Raw genomic sequence first — 19,702 nt, 5'->3', positions numbered from 1 at the left:
TTTAGTAAGTATTTGCTGATATAATTGAATGATAGTTGAGTGAACATCTATTGACCAGGCGTTAGAAGAATTATCTCTGCTCAAATTGTCCAATCCTTCCAGCTACTTGATATTCCAAAATAACTCCACAAATGGGCACTGGAAATATAATGGCCCCTCAAAATTGTCTTCTATGCTGCTCACTCCTTTCCTCCTTTGGCCTGGAAAACAGGCACTGAGTGGGTGAGTGAGAGGATAGTAAAACTGGCAGTGTGAGACCATCACACCCAGTCTCATACATAATAGATTTAGGTAACGGTTCTCCCTCTTATTTCTTATATGACCCAGAGAAATGCATTTCTTCTTTAATAGTAATAGGCTCTATTAATACATTTTAGGTGGCATTTCCTCTAGTGGAATCTCTTATCTCATTGAATCCTCCAAAATATTCAGGCATGATATTCCCATTTTAAAAATGGGGAAATGGACATAAAGCTAGTTAGTGGAGGGGCTGGTTGGGTTCGTGATGTGTATTTTTTGTTCTGTACACGAACCATCTCCACCTCATTTTTATCACTTATAATGACAGGGTAGTAACACCTTAGACTTCCCTAAGGGAATAGAGGTAGATAAAAACTTGTGATTGAATTATACTTGTAAAAGGGCGTTTGAAGACAAATAATGAAAAATACGAATCCATTCTGCACTACTCAATATGGAGTACATATTGAGTTAATACACATTGGTTAATACATATTGGTTAAATGAATGAATGGATGAATGGATGGATGAGTGAACAGCTCTTATTTTGATGAGTACATTTTCTGCTTTTTGGATCAACAACCTCTTTAGCATATTAAAGAAGAAAAGTGTCTCAGTCTTTTCCTGAGCCCCTAAGAACTGCTTTTTTTTTTTTTTTTTGAGTCAGAGTCTCACTCTGTCACCCAGGCTGGAGTGCAATGGTACAAACATGGCTCATGGCAGCCTCGATTTCCCGGGCTCAAGCGATCCTCCAACCTTAGCCTCCCGAGTAGCTGGGACCACGGGTGCACACCACTATGCCCAGCTAATTTTTTTCTTTTCTTTGAGATATCGTCTAGCTCTGTCACCCAGGCTGGAGTGCAGTGGCACAATCTCGACTCACTGCAACCTCCGCCTCCTGGGTTCAATTGATTCTCCTGCCTCAGCCTCCCAAGTAGCTGAGATTACAGGTGTGTGCCACCACGCCTGGCTAATTTTTGTATTTTTAGTAGATACAGGGTTTCACCACGTTGGCCAGGCTGGTCTTGAACTCCTGACCTCAAGTGATCTGCCCACCTCGGTCTCCCATAAATGCTAGGATTACAGGTGTGGGCCACCACGTCCTGCCCAGCTAATTTTTCTATTTTTTATTTTTTGTAGAGACAGGGTCTCGCTATGTTGCTCAGGCTGGTCTCTAACTCCTGGCCTCACGTGATCCTCACACCTTAACCTTCCAAAGTGTTGGGATTACAGGCATGAGTCACCATACCCAGCCCCGAAGGGCCTTTTGAAGATGCCTACTTAAAAAGTCTTGAAAGAGGTCCAAAGGGAAATGTTAGAACTTCCTTATTTTAGAGCAAATCTCAGGAAATATGGCAGTGTTTATACATTATAACATTTAGATAGTACAACAACATTTATAACAATGTTTGTGCATTAAACTAATATGTATACAATGTAACAATGATGCACAGTGTAATATTCATATGACATGAGACAAACTGGAAAATAAATAATTGTGCTCCTAAATGCTTTTTAAAGTAACATCAGATGAGGAGGTCTTCCGCTTTCAGGTTACCCTCTTAGCAAGTTTTCTTCCTACTTGCTAATAGGTCTACAAGGTCATGCCCTCATTTTGTGTGCCGAGGCACAGCGTGGGCATCTCCCAGCCGTTTTTTTTTTTTTTCCGTCTTTTCCTTTTGCATCCTCCAGAGGGCCTCCTTAGCCCTGCAGAGGTAAGAGGTTTAGGCAGTGAGTAGTGAGGGCAGGGAGCTCAACTGGGCCCCAGAGCATTTGGATTCACCAACCTTTCCAGATAGAAGAGACCTCAGAGGCCTTATTTTCTCAAACGAGCTGAGAAAGACTTGCTGGAAGGCCACTGCGGAGCTAGTGGAAGGTTCCGGACTAGAACCTGACTTTCAGTTCCTTCTTTATTTTTTCTTTTAGGAGGTGGGCTCCCCGCCCTCACACTCCCTTCTCTTCCTCTTCTTCCTCCTCCTACTTCTTGAGATGAAGCTATTGCCAGTCTTGACTGAGGGCCAATTCTGTGCCTGGTACTGTGTAAAGAGCTTTAGTTATGTGTGATTCTCACAAAACCCCATGAATTAACTACCATCATTATCAACTCCTTTCACAAACGAGGAAACGAAGGTTTTTAGGGGCAAGTAAACAACCAACCAAAAAACTTGTTTAAAATTACAAAGCTGGCCAGGCGTGGTGGCTCACGCCTGTAATCCCAGCACTTTGGGAGGCTGAGGTGGGCGGATCACTGGAGGTCTGGAGTTTGTGACCAGCCTGGCCAACCTGGTGAAAAGCCCGTCTCTACTAAAAATACAAAAATTAGCTGGGCATGGTGGCATGCACCTGTATTCTCAGCCACTTGGGAAGCTGAGGCGGGAGAATCACTTGAACCCAGGAGGTGGAGGTTGCAGTGAGCTGAGATCGTGCCGCTGCACTCCAGCCTGGGTGACAGAGTGAGACTCTGTATTAAAAAAAAAAAAATTACAAAGCTAAAAAAATGAGGGCAGCAGAATTTGAACCAGATCCGACCCCAAAGCTGGTGTTCCCACTTGCCTGTGTTGTCCTTTGAATCGAGTTACTAGAGGCTCAAGATGCCCACGTCATAGTCCAGACCTCTTTGTTCCTGCTTCTTTCCTTCCCTGCCTCCCCTTCTCTACCTTCATCTTTCTCCCCGCCATCCCTTTCTCCCCAGCACTCTACCCTGATTCCGTGATGCTTGAATTTTAATTCCTCTGTGGAGATGGGGTTACAGAAGAGATGTGGGCTGTTGGGGTGGAGTTAAGTTTCTCAGGAGCACAGGATGGCTGCTGGACTTTTCTTTATGGGGTTTTGTTTTTGATCACAGATCGATTATTTCTTTCAGTGGGAACAGTTTATAGAACTTAGAATGCAATCAATGAAGAAATATGTTTTGATTTACAGATATTCACTTTTTTATTGTAGTAAAAATGCGTAACAAGAAATGTATTATCTTGACCGTTTTCAAGTGCACAGCGCGGTAGTGTGAAGTGTATTTACATTGTTGTGCCGCAGAACTTTTTCATCTTGCCAAACAAAAACTCCGTATCTATTAAGCAACTTTCTCTCTTTCCCCTTCTCTCTAGCCCGTGATAACCACCATTCTACTTTCTGTTTCTATGAATTTGACCTCTTTAAATATATCATATAAGTGGACTCATACAGTATTTGTCTTTTTGTGAGTGGCGTGTTTCACTTAGCATACTGTCCCCAAGCTTCATTCATGTTGTAGCACGTGCTAGAGTTTCCTTCCTTTTTAAGGCTGAACAATATTCCCTCATGTGAATGTACCACATTTTGGGTATTCATTCAACGGCTAATAGACATTTGGGTTGCTTCCACCTCCTGGCTATTGTGAATAATGCTGCTATGAACATAGGTGTATAGGTATCACTTCAAGATCCTGCTTACAATTATTTTGTACGTATATCCAGAAGTAATATTGCTGGATCATGTGGTAATTTTGTATTTAATTTTTGGAGAACCACCATACAGTTTTCCATAGTGGCTACCCAATTTTACATTCCCACAAGTGTTCAGTTTCTCCACGTCCTCACCAACACGTTTTTTTCTATTTTTTGTTGTTGTTTTTTGTTTTTAATTGTTGTTTTAAATCATATCAGCTGTCTTAGTCCCTTTGGTGTTGCTATAACTGAACACCACAGACCAGGTAATTTATAAAGAATAGAGGCCTATTTAGCTCATGGTTCTGGAGGCTGAGAGGTCCTAATGCATGGTGCCAGCATCTGGTGGGCCTTCTGGCTGTGTCATAACACGGTGGAAGGCATCATGTGGCCAGAAAGCAAGAGTGTGAATATCAGCTCGGGTCTGTCTTTGTCTTCTTAGAAAGCCACCAATTCCATCATGGGGGCCCCATCCTGATGACTTTATCTAATTTTATTTACCTCCCAAAAGCTCCAGCTGTAATCGACCTAAGAATTTTAGTTGCATTTCCCACACTTTTAATACTGTCACAGTGGCAACTGAATTTCAGTACATGAACTTTGAGGGACACATTCAAACCATAGCAGTAGTCATCCTAACAGTTATGAGGTGAGTGACTGGGTTTTAAATTAATATTCTGTATTAGGCACTGTGCTTGGAGTAGGGGCTACAAAGATAAAGTGTGTTTCCTGCCCTCGCATCACTCACAGTCTTATGGCTAGGCTAGTGTTTCTGTGGGTGTGAACACTTGTGCTAGCATCAGCTTGATGTTGGTAAAAGTACTGATTCCTGGCCGGGCGCGGTGGCTCACACCTGTAATCCCAGCACTTTGGGAGGCCGAGGCAGGCGGATCACGAGGTCAGGAGATTGAGACCATCCTGGCTAACACGGTGAAACCCCATCTCTACTAAAAATACAAAAAATTAGCCGGGCGTGGTGGTGGGCACCTGTAGTCCCAGCTACTCGGGAGGCTGAGGCAGGAGAATGGCGTGAACCCGGGAGGTGAAGCTTGCGGTGAGCCGAGATTGCGCCACTTCACTCCAGCCTGAGCGACGAGTGAGACTCCATCTCAAAAAAAATAATTAATTAATTAAAAAAAAAAGTACTGATTCCCAGGACTCTTTCTAGACCTCCTGAATCAAGAGCTCTATATTTTTAGAACAAGCCTCCAAAGACACTCTTATGTACACCATTGGGCTAGGTCAGTAGTTCTCAATTTGGCTGTACATTCAAATCAATTTCTGGGTTCCTCCCAGGGGTTCTGATTTAACTGGGTTGGGATGGGCTCCTATGTTTTAGAACTTCCCAGGTGATTCAAATGTACAGTCAAGGCACATTTGGCGAAACACTGGACTAGGTGATTTCTAAATTCTTTCCAGATGTAAAATTCTGCCCCCAGCAGCATTTTTTTAGTTCAGCAAATATTTATTGACTTGTCTCCTCCTTTCAGGGCTCTGGGTCAGCCAGGGTGTGAGGGTCAAGAAAAGACTGGGCTCAAATAGGCGGCCTTGAGTTCGTATCCTGACTCATTCATGCTGACTACCAGGATAACCTTTGAGAAGTCCCCAAACCAAGAGAGGGTGATAGAAGCCTAATGAAGAAAGTCTCTGTAGAAGATGAGAGAGGTTCACTGTGCCAAATGCTGCTAAGAAGGGGTGAAGGATGAAGACTGGGAATGAGAAAGGATTGTTGGATTTGTCATTGAGGAGGCCATTGGTGACTTTGATGAGAGAGGCTTTAATGGAATAAAAGAGAAGGAAGCCTGATTGGAGTCAAGAACGGGAGGTGTGCAGGCAGAGCAGTGACAATAGACAGCAACTTCTGGGAAGTCTGTGGCAGAGGAGTGCAGAGAAGTGTGAAGTACATTGCGTCAGTTGTTTTTTATTAGAATTTCCTCCACTACTGCTAACACTGATTGGAAAAGCATTTATTAAGAACCCAATTGATCAGGCACTTATGAGCAGACTCTTGACGCAACCCTTTAGTGTCAGTGAATATATTTTGGGGAGCTTACTTTATTATGGCATTTGGGTTTTTTGGTTTTTTTTTAATATGAGAGTCAAATTGTTCTGATTGAAGCTAACTCAGAGACATTATTAAAGCATAAAACTTATTGCCAGTTTTTTTGCTGAACTACAAGGGGCTAGGACTAGTGTGTGGGGGGCATCTCACTGGAGAAAACATTTCCTAAGACTGAGAACCAGTACCAGTTCCCACATGCAGGAGAGGATGGCTGTGTTTTTACTCCTTCTTTTCTCTCTACTTTTCCTTCTTCATCCATCTCTTTTCTTTTATTTTCCTCTTTACGATCCATTCCGCCTCCATTATCCTCCTCGTTCTCTTTTGCTTCCTTTGCTTGGCACACGATGCCTTTATAGATGGGCTCCCATCTCATCCTCCACCCCCAGCCCAGCTCTCACTGTGCACTCCTACGTGTTTTAACTGCTCCAGTGAAGCTCCCCCCGGCTCTCTGACTGTACAGTGCCTCTCATGTCTCTGTGCTCTTGCACGTGCTGTTCCCTACCTTCTTCTTTTGGCGAACTCCTACTCATTTGTATTAGGGTACTCACTAAGCCACTGTAACAAAGAGACCTTGAAAACGCTGGTTTAGATAGGAGAGAATTTTATTTCTCTCTCATGCTGCAGTCCAGAGGCAGGTGGTTTCGGGCTGGTAGGGAGGCTCAATGTGTAGTTTTCAGCTCTGGTTCCAAAATGGCTGCTCTGGCTCTTACCATCACATCTGCATCCCAACTAGAAGGAGGAGAGAAGGGACAAGGGGACTATGCACCAATTCTGTTTAAAGGCATGACCCGGACATTGCACATATTACATTTACTTATATCTCACTGGCCAGAACTTAGTCACATAGCCACACTTCACTGTGAGAGAGGCTTAAAAATGCAGTCTTTGGTTGGGAGAATAGATATTGGCAGATGATAGTCTCTGCTGCAGGATCCTTCTAGATCCATGTGGTGTCTTCTACTCCAGGAAGGCTGTTTCACCTGGGAGTGCCCCCATTCTTCTCTCCAGCATGACATTCACCATCCTGAGTTGGGATTACCTCGTCCCTTGTCTGTTTTCAACTAGACTGTAAACAGACAGGGCCTGTGTGTCATTTATCTTTGAATCCCTAGTACCGATACCAGTGTTGCCGCACTGGTATAGCATAAATGACTCCTGAGCAGAGGCATTGGGGGCAGTGGGACTCGGGCACTGTGCCTTTATGGTGGGAGGGAGGGCAAGGGTGGTCTGGCAGGTCAGCCAGCTGGTTGGCCCCACATGTAGCTCCCTCGCCTCCCTGCCTTCCTCACTGGAGACATCCAGGAAGCTGCTGGTGCCCATAGAGGGGTGGCTGGGAAAGGGCAGCCCCATTCCTCAGCCAGGTAAACATGCAATCCTGAAAAGTGTTTAATCCAAATATTTATTTTAGGTTCATGTCATTGTATCTCTTACCAAGTCCAAAGGGTGATGGGGAGCAGGGTGTGGCTGTTTCAGCCCTGCACTGTTTGTGGGTGTGACCCGCACTTCTAGACTCCCAGGGCATGTGGCCACCCCTCAACTGGGAGGTGGTATGTTTCAGGGCTCTTTCTCTCTTGCTCCCTCTCCCTCACCTCTATGGTCCCAGCAGGCTTTAGCCTCTTCCCCTCGTTTCCTGGGCTTCCAGTTCCTGTTGGGTCGTAGCCTCCACACTATTTTCTGCTACTCTGGGGTCGTCTCCTAGAGATGAGGAGCAGGAAGCTTTGGACCCTACTGGGGTAGAAGCGTGGGGAGAGGGCAGGGGATTGGCAGAGTGGGTTGGTCTGTAACCAAAAAGTTCATATTCTCAGTCGGGCATGGTCATGCCTATAATCCCAGCACTTTGGGAGGCTGAGGCAGGCAGATCACCTGAGGTTGGGAGTTCGAGACCAGCCTGGTCAACATGGCAAAACCCTGTCTCTACTGAAAATACAAAAATTAGCTGGGTGTGGTGGCACATGCCTGTAATCCCATCCATTCGGGAGGCTGAGGCACAAGAATCGCTTGACCCGGGAGGCAGAGGTTGCAGTGAGCCAAGATGGCACCACTGCACTCCAGTCTGGGTGACAAAGCGAGACTTTGTGTGAAAAAACAAACAAACAAACAAACAACTCGGCCAGGTGTGGTGGCTCACACCTGTAATCCTAGCACTTTGGGAGGTCGAGGCGGGCAGATCACAAGATCAGAAGATCGAGACCATCCTGGCCAACATGGTGAAACCCCATCTCTACTAAAAATACAAAAATTAGCTGGGCATGGCGGCATGTGCCTGTAATTCCAGCTACTCGGGAGGCTGAGGCAGGAGAATCGCTTGAACCCAGGAGGTGGAGGTTGCAGTGAGCCGAGATCACACCACTGCACTCCAGCCTGGCGACAGAGTTAGGCTCCATCTAAAAAAAAAAAAAAAAAAGCTCATATTCTTAGTTACCTACCGGCCTGTTTCTCGTAACTTGTTATTGTGAAAGAGCCAGCTGGCACTTCTGCACCTTGTCCTAGGAGGTTTTGGGCTCCAGAAATGTGTGTATGTGAGGGGCCCCTTCCCCTAGGTCATCGTCAGTGTCTAGACCTGTTCTCACCTGTTAGCAGCTTCATGACACACCCTGTTGTGTGTTCCCAGCCCTCTGCAGCGCCCTCACATGCTTGTTTGTGTGCCACATCTGCCCTCCTCTCTTGCCTGCAAGCTCTAGGGGGGCAGGTGATAGGAGTTCCATTTTAGACATAAGGAGGCTGCCATGCAGAAGGTCACTGATGTGTACCAGATCACCCTGGTGAGTTGTGATGGGATCGGAAGTGGTGGCAGGGTCTTCTCACTGCAGGCATGGGAAGGGTGCACGTGCGTATTTCATGATCATGCTCTGAGAGTGACCCAGCTGGGAATGTTTGCTGCTGCTGATGGACTGATTGAGTCCAAGGGCTGAATTTGCACACCTGGGTATTCTCACGGCCAGCTTGAAAAATAGATTTCCTGGGTATCCCCTGAGAGGTCCTGTTGATGTCAATTTTCAGGCCAGGAAGGTGTATCTTTTCCCTTCTATGATGCTCCTCCCTCCTATGATTGTTGAGAATAAAGTTCTTTCCCATCTGGGATGTCAAGCTGTCCCAGGAGGAAAGAGGAAACATCACTTACTCCATCAGGCCAAGCACTTTGCTATGGACTGAACATTTGTATCCCCCCAAATCCATATGTTGAAGCCCATTATCCACAATGTGACGTTATTACAAGGTGGGTCCTTTGGGAGGTGACTGCGTTTGGATGAGGTCACAGGGGTGGAGCCCCCACGTTGGGACTGGTGCCCTGATAAGGGGATGAAGAACCCTGAGCTTTCTCTCCGCCCTGTGAGGGCTCCCACCAGAACCTGACTGTGCTGCTTACCTGACCCTGGACTTCCAGCCTCGAGAACTGGGAGAAATAAAAGCCTCGTGTTTAAGCCACATAGTCTATAGCGTTCTTGTCAGAGCAGCCCCACAGGACTAAGACACGCATAGTATTTTAGAACTTCTGGAAGTTGAGGCTGCTTTCAAATCAGCCCTGGGCCATTGCTAGGGTGGGACTAGGCCTCCAGGCACTGTGAGCCTCAGCCTGAGGCTCTGTGGGATTTGGAATTGTCAGCCAATGTCCACTAGATATTCTTCATCCTCTGGGAATGAGAGACGGGCCACAATAAGGTAGATGGTGGACTTGTCTCTTCCGATGTGTCTGGTGGCTTAACTGAATTTCCCTCTTGCTTTCGGAAGAGTCTTAGAGTCAAGTATCTTCATTTCCAGTATAATTCGCTTTAATACTCTCTAGTATGCCAGGCACTGTGTGGGGTGCTTAAGCTATGATTGTGAATAAGGCCCTTTTCCTGCTTTCAAGAAACTGGAGGTTCCGATGCACGTGGCTAAGTATATTGTAGGAAGTGAACTGCTATAAAACTAGATGTGCTTTGCCCATATGTGAGTAGGAAAGTAGGCTTAACTCTCAGTGTTGCCAAAGTATAAAGCGCATGCCTTGAGGGTTCTAGGGAGGAAATGTAAACTTGCCATTTTTGTGTTTTGAGGTGGTTCTGGAGGTTTAATATTTAGTGTACTTTCACCAGGGAGGGATTGGAGCTGCCAGACAACTGATGAGGTTATTACAATCATTTAGAGAAAAGACAGTGGGGACCTGGAGTCTTTGGGGTAGGGGATGTAAGGAAAGTAGGAAATTTGCAAGATTTTCAGAAGAACTGCCTGGCCATGGCAATTGTATGAGAGTGGGACGTGAAGGGAAGATTTAAGGATGACTGTGGTCTCTAGCCTGGGCCACTGGAAAACGGTGGCACTGTTAACCGAGACAGGGCTCTGGGAATGGAGCGCTGGTGTGGGGAGCAGGTGGGAGGGGCAAGGAGTTCACAGACTATGATACAGGTCAGGATGGGTGAGGAATAGGCTCAGAGGGAATGAGAAGAAGGAGCCCTCGGGGAGATGGGGAGATTACAGGAGTCAGGATCCACAGCATGTAGAAACTATGTTCATGAGTACTCAGTTAAAAAAGGGATGCTCTGTGTTGGAGGAAGTATGTTGTCCTTTCTCCTCACTGGGATCTTTTGTACTTTTTGTTATCTCTTTATGGGTAGTCAGGGAATTGAGTTCATAGGAAATCAAAACCCCACCAGTGATCAAGGGAGGAGAACCTTCTGGAAGCACACAATGCCCTGGCCAAGGCATTGCAGCCATAGGCACCCAACTACTACAGGGTGGAGTTAAAGAAAGGCTCTGTCCGTACACCAGAAAAGCATTCTGTTTTGGCTAGACTGTGCTAGAGTCTTTAATAAGACTCCAAAAATAACAACTCTGTTATAACCAGCAGGCTTTATCTTAGAGAGAGAAGAATCCAGTTAAGAATCGCTGCTTGATTTTTTTCCCCATTAAAAAAAAATAGTTTCAACTTTTATTTGAGATACAGGGGTACATGTGCAGGTTTGTTGCCTAGGTATTTTGTGTGATGCTGAGGTTTGAGGTATGATGGATCCCATTACCCAGGTACTGAGCATAGTTCCCAGTAGTTAGTTTTTTGACCCATGCCTCCCTCCCTTCCTCCTCTAGTAGTCCCCAATGTCTATTGTGGCCATCTTCATGGTCAGTTCCCACTTATAAGTGAACATGCTGCTTGATTTTTGAAAACTTAAATTCCCTCTTAGACTCTCTTAAATATTGCAGTTACTTATGCACCAACCTAATAGTTTCTGAAACTCTGAGCAGGCTGCATGGATACAGAACCAAATCCCACTTGGAACAGTCTAGCACCTTGTTACTCAAAGTGTGGTCCCTAAGCCAGCAGCATTGGCCTCATGTGGGAGCTAGTTAGGATTGTAGAACCCAATGAATTAGAATCTACATTTTAACAAGATCCCCACTGAGTCATACGCATATTAAAGTTTGAGAAGTATTGATTTGGCACAGTGGATTTTAGATACAGTTTTGCATTGGATTCATTTAGGTAAAATGTGTCATTAAAATAACACAGCTTTCCAAGCCTCAGCCCTGGAAATTCTGATTTAGTCAGGCAATTCTCTTGGGTAACCAGGTTTGGAAACTACTGGCTTCTAAAGATTCCAAAATTTCTGTCGATAGACAAATGGCAAAAATTTTAGTAAATGGAAATCTAGTTTGAACTCCACGTCTGTTTGCTTTACATTCATGATAATGGCCAAAGCCTCATGGCTTTTTGAAAAAAAAAAAAAAAAAACAAACAAACAAACAAAAAAACCCATGTCTAGATTGACATTAGACATGACTTGTCCCCTTCCTCTCAGGACATCTTGATGCATGATGCTCAAGAGGACATGTGTTTCCCCTGGCCCCGTGGCAGGGACCATACACTGGCAAAAGTTGAATGGGCTTGGCCAATTCACTGCCCAGTTTGAAAGCAACTAAAGTCAGCTGATGTTTACCAAGTGCTCTGGGGATGAAAGTAATTACCCAAGAACCAAACAATGTGATCTCCATTAGTTGCATAGTTTGTCTCTGTAGAAGATCATAGCTTGAAGGGGCCTTTCAGAACTCTCCTCCAGCTCTCGCTTTAGGGATAGAGAAAGAGAATCCATGGAGAGGTTGGGACCTGGATTCCAGCTGGTTTCATTCAAGAGGGAAGGATATTTTGTTGTTTGGAAAATGGATCACATATTTGTTGCCTAATCAGAGGCGCAAAATGAACAAACTTTGTATTCCATGCTTAATCTCAAGTGCTGGGGAAAGTGCTGTAAACACAGAAAGATCTGGCTCCTAGAGATTGGCCAGGACCGTAAGACACATGGAGTGCAGATGCCCTAGGAATTCGACAGCGAGTTCTCCAACGCTGAGATCTTTAATTAAACAGGTGTTTGGGAAGTAGGTCCTGTGTAGCTTCCAGCCTTGGCTGGGCTCGTCTTGCTGAAAAATGGCACCGACCCAGCCCAGCAGCAGGCCTGAAACTGGCTTCACTTGGAGGTGTAGGAATGTGCCATTGTTGTTTTCTTCTTTCTTATCAAGCCCCATTAGCTTGAGCAAGGAAGGAACAAAAATGGGCTGGGAAAACATGTTATTTCACTGGGTAAAAATTTACTACCAAGGAAATGATTTTTGCCATATCCAAAAAAGGAAGAGTGGAGGCCTTGGAAAGGTGTGTCTTCCAAGGGCTCTTGGAAAGCTTCTCCCAGTGTCACCCAGTGAGAATGTTTCCCTTTGGCTGATGGCCGTTCTCACACAAGAACTGAGATATTCAGCCGACGTTAGGTACACAGGCTCACAAAGTCAGACCTTGCCTGTTCACAGTATTGGAGCAAAGAAGGCATGGGAAGAGGCAAGAATCAGATTGTGAAAAGGTTGATCATACATGGCCATTAGGCACACGTACCTTTATGCTTTTGGATGCCTACAATTATAGAATCATAGATGGGCCCAGAGATGCCTGGGTGCAGAGGTGGAGATGGAGACTCCATGAAGGAATGTACCCTGGCTTTCCTTACCTCTTGTCCAGATCTCCCGCCATATGCCTGGGGCTCAAGGGGGAGAAGTCCCTGGCTTTGGCTGTAGTTGAATCACAGAACTAACCATGCTTATAGCCCATGAAACCCCTGGGCTGTCATCCTGGTGTCTTTAGTGAATTCTAGAACAGCATCTGCAGGAGGCAGAGACCAACCTTCTTCTATCTTCCACAGCTGTCAGAAACAGCACCTCCCCGGGGAAGGGAGCTATGTGCCAGGCAGTCAGGCTGGCACCTGTGCTCCTGTTAATTCATGAACTCTCACATCTACCTACGAGGCAGGCTACATCAGCCCTGTTGCAGAACACCCAAGGATCCAGTAAATTGCCCTGCCTTATTTAGTTACCAAATGTGGGAGCCTGGATTCACACCCAGCTCTGTCTGCTCCCAAAGTTCTTATTCTTTAACCTGCTAGTCTTTTCTGGGGAGTTCTCAGCCCTTTGGTGTATTTTTCTTTTAAACTTTGGTGCTTGGAGAATGACCTAGAAAATGTTCTCCCTATGGGCATGGGGAACCATTAGTGTTTTGTTTTGTTTTGTACAGTTTTTAAAGGACATTTTATTTCTGTTAGAATTTGTGTTATGAAAACAAAGTATTTTCAACTTTCAGGAATAAATGCTGAACTGTAAATACATATATGTATATAATATGTGCATTCAAATATAACACATAGCTATCATACATATGCATGTTATTTATATTTGAACATATTTATGCATATTTAATGTGATATATTAAGTCTGTTATAACTGCCTATAGAGATTTTATTTAATAATCTGTGAGTTAATACTAAGATCATACTTGGAACCATTACTTTTATATGGGATAGAAAAGTGGGTTGTGTGATGTTTTCTGAGAACCAGCCCACTCCCAAGGGGAGGACATAAAATGGGCATAAATCAACAATGTAATACCCACGAAGCTGTCTGAGAACTCCATACAGTGAAGGAGAGGAGTGCCAATCACCACTGGCTTCCTCTGCAGAGTCCTGCTCCAAGGACTGGAACGGTCAGCAGATGTGTGGGCTGTGGCCCTTTCCTGTGCTGTCCGTGAGTCACAATGGAAGGTTCTGTTCATTTTGTTGTCCCCGAGATTGTTGGACAGTTGTATTTTGATGTGTTGAGGCCAGTTTCTTCATCTGGTGCCTTTGTAAGATCTTTTCTGTACTTGAAGGACATTCTTTTACTCCTTTAAAACACACCAGCCTGAGGGACATCCCTTTATTCCCCTTGTCTTTGCATATCTGCCCACGTAAAGCTTACTGTCTGGCTGGGGAATGTGAGACATAGCTAAGGGTATGAAATCCTAAAAGAGTTTCCCAAATATGTAGGCCACTGTCCTGGGGCCTGAAAGCCCTTTCTGTCTATGGCCTCCTTGGAAGGCATCGAGGAGGTGATATTGATGGGTTTTGATGACTTTCCTAAGTGAGCAGTTGTTTCAGATTGAGAAGGCCACTCTGTGGATGTCTCAAGGGAGAGGTGCCAGTGCAGGTGAGACTGCAAGGTCACCAGAGCTGTGCTGCTTGATGCAGATGACGACTTCTTCCTGGCAGGGGCAGTGCTGGGCTTTTCCAGGTTCTGGGAGAGCTGGTGAGCGCTTTCCTCCAGTTGCCAGGGTGCTGGTCATCTGGGCAGCAGATAGTCACTGCCTCACCTGTGGGGAGCCAAGCTATGGTTGCTGTGGCAGAATCCTCCAAGTGCCCAGGCACCCGACTGGTGTGACAGCAGCCAGGAGGGAGCAGGGAGATGAGAGAACTCCCAGTAAAGTCTGCTTCTGGGTACCATACAGCGGGAGGGAATATGCTTGATGCCAGCTCTTCCAAAGGTCATGGAGGCTGGGGAGGACACACACACACACACACACGAACACACAGCCGCTGTAGAGCATAAAGAATGAATGAATGGGGGCCGGGCACGGTGGCTTATGCCTGTAGTCCCAGCACTTTGGGAGGCCGATGCGGGCAGATCACGAGGTCAGGAGATAGAGACCATCCTGGCTAACATGGTGAAACCCCATCTCTACTAAAAATACAAAAAAATTAGCCGGGCGTGGTGGTGGGCACCTGTAGTCCCAGCTACTCGGGAGGCTGAGGCAGAAGAGTGGTGTGAACCCGGGAGGCAGAGCTTGCAGTGAGCTTAGATTGCGCCACTGCAGTCCAGCCTGGGCGACAGAGCGAGATTCCGTCGCAAAAAAAAAAAAAAAAAAAAAAAGAATGAATGAATGAATGAGTGAGCAAGTGAATGAATAAAGGATTGAATGCACCCAGCATTCTTTTCTCTTAGGGGACTCTTCCTGACTACTGCACAGGAAAAGAAAGCAGACCCTGTTTGCCCATGAGGATACTGACCCTTGCTCAGGTTGTCATAGCTTGTACTTTTCCACTGATGCGGAAAGGGAGGCCCTGCCAAAGAATGTCCTTGGAGTGATTCAATGTATTTTTCCTTCTGTGATTTAAGTCAAATGTATTTAATGTAAGAAGTTCCGCTGTGAGCTGGAATGTGTGATGAGTCTTTCAGCCTCCCCCCGAGAAAGCCCACCGTGTGAACACTTCCAGTTTTAGCTCCATCAGGTGTGTAAGCTGACAGTGGTTGGCGTGGTGGTGGCTGTTTTTAAAGTACACACACCCAAATGGGCTTGTCAGCTAGTTGGCTGGAAAAACCTTTCTGGGGGCTGCGAGGGATTGATGTTTGCCGTTCATGTGTTCATTCATTCAATAGTTCTTGAACATTACCAGGGACACAGCATTACACCAGGTGTGTTTTCAGGCTATAAAGGTGAGAGATTCCGCCCCCCCCGCCAAAAAAAACTTCAGGGACTTATTGACGTCTCAAAATATAGTTTCTATTGACAATTCATTAAACAAGTTAGTGAAAGTTAAAATTTTAATTTTAAAATCTGTATTTTAAACAAAACAAATACAAAAGTGTCGTATAACTGAGTTAATTCTTTTATTTTTTGAGATGGGGTCTTGCTGTGTTGCCTAGGCTAGAGGTCAGTGGTGCAGTCTTGGCTCACCATAGGCTCAACTTCCTGGGCTCAGGTGATCCTCCCACCTCAGCTTCCTGAGTAGCTGGGACTACAGGTATGCGCCACCACACCCGATTAATTTTTTGTATTTTTAGTAGAAACAGGGTTTTGCCATGTTGCCCAGGCTGGTCTCAAACTCCTGGACTCAAGCAATCTTACCCACCTTGGCCTCCCAACGTGCTGGGATTACAGGCATGAGCCACTGCGCCTGGCTGAGTTAATTCTTTAGTTCAGTAAAAGTGCTGGAGTTTTTAAAAGAGTGAACTTCAAGGATTTTGATCTTCGGCCTGAATACTTCGCACACATGCCCACGATGGGGCCCTTTGTGCCCTTCTGAGTCCAGCCTGGCCTGCTGGCATGCGTCTGGTTTCTCTCTGTAGGACTTGGCAGGCACAGTTGTGTGGGATGCAAATTACGCAAGCACAGAGGCTTGGGAACTTGCTGCCACCAAGCCTCTCCAGTGATTCTTCTCCTGTGTTGGTCACCCTCACCCTTCATTCCCCTCAAGGCAGGAAAAAGAACAGAAATTCCTAAGGCAGTGTTGTTCCCAGCACACAATTGCCATCCATCACTCCCTGCTGGGAAAATGTAAATACGCACCAGCCGATAGTGGCACTATTTATTGTCATAGACTTCACTGTGGATTTGAGCAGGAGCAGCTTCTGGCCAAGCATTATTCACCAGCTCCCCTGGGAGGCTGTGCTCGGTGGGCAGAGCTGCATGGAAGGGAGGCAAAGGGGAGGCTGGAGTCCTTGCAGCTGAGAACAGGGCTGGGTCTTTGCCACTGAGGCTGCACATGCTTAACATCAGGGTGGAGTGGAGGCTGCCGTCATCTTGGCACTAGGTTCTTGGAGGTCGTTCATGTTTAGAGGAGGGAAAGCCACTTCCATAGGATTCCCAGACAGCTGTCATTTTGGGGTAGGGTGGGGACTGATCAGCGTTGTTAGTGTTGGGCTGTTGCAGGTGGATGGTGGATTTGTAGCCATATCACCTGAAGCCGAGGGACCACTGCTCACCCAGTTGAACGTTTTACTGAAGCTCACAAAGCCCTATGCTACACAAGGCCCTTGCCCTCAAGGAGCTTGCACTTTTGGGTCTTAGACACCCCCATCCCCACCGTACGTATTCAAAGAAGCCAACTGAATGGATGATGATCAAGTCTGCAATCTGCAGTGTCAGGAGGCAGACAGCGTGGGAGTGGGGTCAGTAAAAAGCAACAAAAGCTCAGCCCTCCCTCAGCCCAGTCTGCCAGCTCCCCCCTGAATCTGCTTGGTCCTGGGTGGCATGACCTCTGTTAGACCTGCACGGAGTAGACTTAGAGTCAGGCAGGCAGGGAGGCCTGGACTCAGCTCTTGGCTTGGTGCTTACTAGCTCTTTCCACTCAGTTTTCCCATCTGTAAAATGGGGATTGTGAGCCCACCTCACAGGGTGATGTGAGAGTAAATACAAGTAACAAGGTAGGTGTCAGGCACATAACACAGGCTCAGTGAATTGCAGCTTTCAGTATTACTTCCGACTGCACCATGGTCCATTCGGTGAAGGTGGAGAAAAGGTGTAGATGAGCAAACCCTGATGCAGGAATGAAGAGGGGAGGGAAGGTGACCCACCAAGGTGCAGGTGAAGGCAGGGCTGACAAGGAGAAAAGGTTTTGGGGTCCTCTGGACCAGGCAGATCCAGGAGGCACCGTGGATCCTTGTGGAGTAAATTAATGTGTGAATATTTAATGAAAAGTCTCTTCCTTTAGGTCAAAGTGAGAGTGTGGCATCGGGAGGTCCATTTCAGGATCTTGGGCGCTCTCCCCTAAAGTGCAGTGCAGGGGAGAAAGGGGAGGAGGATGTTTCAGTTTCAACAAACAGTTTTGAGCACTGACTGTCCACACCAGATGGCTTGGGAATGACCATGAATATGGCTCGATATCTGTGCTCTGAAGCTCTAAGTTAAGAAGGGACCGAGGTGGATGCAAGTATCTTCATGCCACCAGACAGATGGCAGTGGGCTCTAGAGCAGCATAGAGAGACTTGCTGTGAGCAGAGGACAGACAGAGATTAGCCCCAGGAACTATGGAGTGGAGCGAAGACTGGAGAGCTTCAGACCGAAAGATTTTCACGGGTGAATACCATTAAGCAACTGGACTGCCAGCTTCTGTTGGCAGGGAACTTTTTTTTTTTTTTTTTTTTTTTTTGAGACAGGGTCTCACTCTGTCTCCCAGGTTGGAGTGAAGTCGTGCGATCTCGGCTCACTGCAGCCTCCACCTCCTGGGCTCAAACGATCCTCCCAGCTCAGTCTCCTGAGTAGCTGGGACTACAGGCGCATGCCACCAGGCCCGGCTAATTTTTAATTTTTAGTAGAGACGGGGTTTCACCATGTTGCCTGAGCTCGTCTTGAACTCCTGAGCTCAGATGATCCACCCATCTCAGCCTCCCAAAGTGCTGGGATTACAGGCGTGAGCCACCATGCCCAGCTGGGGACATTTCCTTTACTTCTGTTTTGTTCTCAGTGGTGTTTATCATAGTCCTGTGCACACAGTAGGTACGCAGCAGACCCCTGTTTAACATATGAATGAACAAGCCTAATACAAAATGGCTTTCTAAATCAAGTAATGGTTATTGTCAAGGTAATGCACCTTCAAAGAGCAATGGCATAGGATGGCAGAAGGATTCCTGAGGATAAGGGTTCCCTTCTTGGCCATTTCCCTTTGTGGATTTCTGGTGAGCAGACTAGCTCAGCCTTCAGTAGAGGTCAGTGTCTCCTAGAGGTGCCCATCGGGGAAGCACTGCCACCTCCTTGGGTGTAACCTAGTGACCTTATTAACTGCCTCCCAGCCAAGATGAGCCACTGGCACCCCTGGTGGCTCCAGGGCTCTAGATGGATGTGAGTGACATTCTTTGGACTATGTCTGTATTACAGATGTGGACGAGTGTGCAACAGATTCCCACCAGTGCAACCCCACCCAGATCTGCATCAATACTGAAGGCGGGTACACCTGCTCCTGCACCGACGGATATTGGCTTCTGGAAGGCCAGTGCTTAGGTAACAGCTCTCTGGGGGGGTCACAGGGACTCTTGGAAGTTAACGGTTGCCAGGGGCATTTTGAGGTATGGGCATAGCTGGCTGCCTGAGGGTAGTAAGCTTTTCTTTGCTAGGGAGGGCGGGAGGGGTGGAAGGCTATTGAACTCACATGTGTAACCACCCTTGAAAATCAATTGCCATCATCGCCATCTTGTCATCATTATAGTTTTTGAATGTATTTATTTATTTTTGAGACATAGTCTTACTGTCCCCCAGGCTGGAGTGCAATGGCGCAATTTCGGCTCACCGCAACCTCCGCCTCCTGGGTTTGAGTGATTCTCCTGCCTCAGCCTCCCGAGTAGCTAGGATCATAGGCATGTGCCACCACGCCCAGATAATTTTTGTATTTTTTGTACAAATGGGGCTTTTGCCATGTTGGCCAGGCTGGTCTTGAACTCCTGGGCTCAAGTCATCTGCCCGCCTCAAAAGTGCTGAGATTACAGGTGTGAGCCACCACGCACGGCCTTGAATGGTTTTTTTCGGTTTTTTTTTTTTTTTTTTTTTTTTTGATATGGTGTCTCCCTCTGTTGCCCAGGCTGGAGTGCAGTGGCACGATCTTGACTCATTGCAATCTCTACCTCCTGGGTTCAAGTGATTCTCCTGCCTCAGCCTCCTGAGTGAGTAGCTGGCGTTTCAGTCATGTGCCACCATGCCCAGCTAATATTTGTATTTTTTGTAGAAACAGGGTTTTGCCATGTTGGCCAGGCTGGTCTCGAACTCCTGGGCTAAAGTGATCTGCCTGCCTCAGCCTCCCAAAGTGCTGAGATTACAGGTGTGAGCCACCATGCCCAGCCTCAAATATATTTTTTAAGGGCTATGGTTTTGGATGTATTTTTTAAGTTTGATTTTACCTTGACTTTCTTCCTGTCTTCACGAAGTTTATATCCAGGCCAGGAAGTGACA

The 19,702-nt window shown here is 46.4% G+C and overlaps 1 protein-coding gene across 7 annotated transcripts in view, besides 1 other annotated feature; it reads left to right on the top strand.

The window, feature by feature from the left end:
- Positions 1-19,702, top strand: part of FBLN5 (fibulin 5) — a 78,284-nt gene that overhangs the window by 33,985 nt on the left and 24,597 nt on the right. For all 7 annotated transcript variants that reach the window (NM_006329.4, NM_001384160.1, NM_001384158.1 and 4 more), the window contains one exon: positions 18,638-18,760. In NM_006329.4, the coding sequence (NP_006320.2) occupies positions 18,638-18,760 (123 nt within the window). The remainder of the gene's footprint in view (positions 1-18,637; positions 18,761-19,702) is intronic.
- Positions 16,086-16,599: an enhancer, noted in NCBI's record as "NANOG-H3K27ac-H3K4me1 hESC enhancer chr14:92363455-92363968 (GRCh37/hg19 assembly coordinates)". NCBI's record gives its function as "activates a minimal SCP1, AML or CMV promoter by ChIP-STARR-seq in naive H9 embryonic stem cells {active_cell/tissue: H9 hESC(naive)}" and the evidence as "EXISTENCE:reporter gene assay evidence [ECO:0000049][PMID:30033119]".

This window comes from Homo sapiens, chromosome 14 (genome assembly GCF_000001405.40).
Source record: "Homo sapiens chromosome 14, GRCh38.p14 Primary Assembly".
Lineage (NCBI taxonomy): Eukaryota > Metazoa > Chordata > Mammalia > Primates > Hominidae > Homo > Homo sapiens.
The sequence above is the reverse complement of the archived record's forward strand: the minus strand, read 5'-3'. Positions and strand labels throughout refer to the sequence as shown.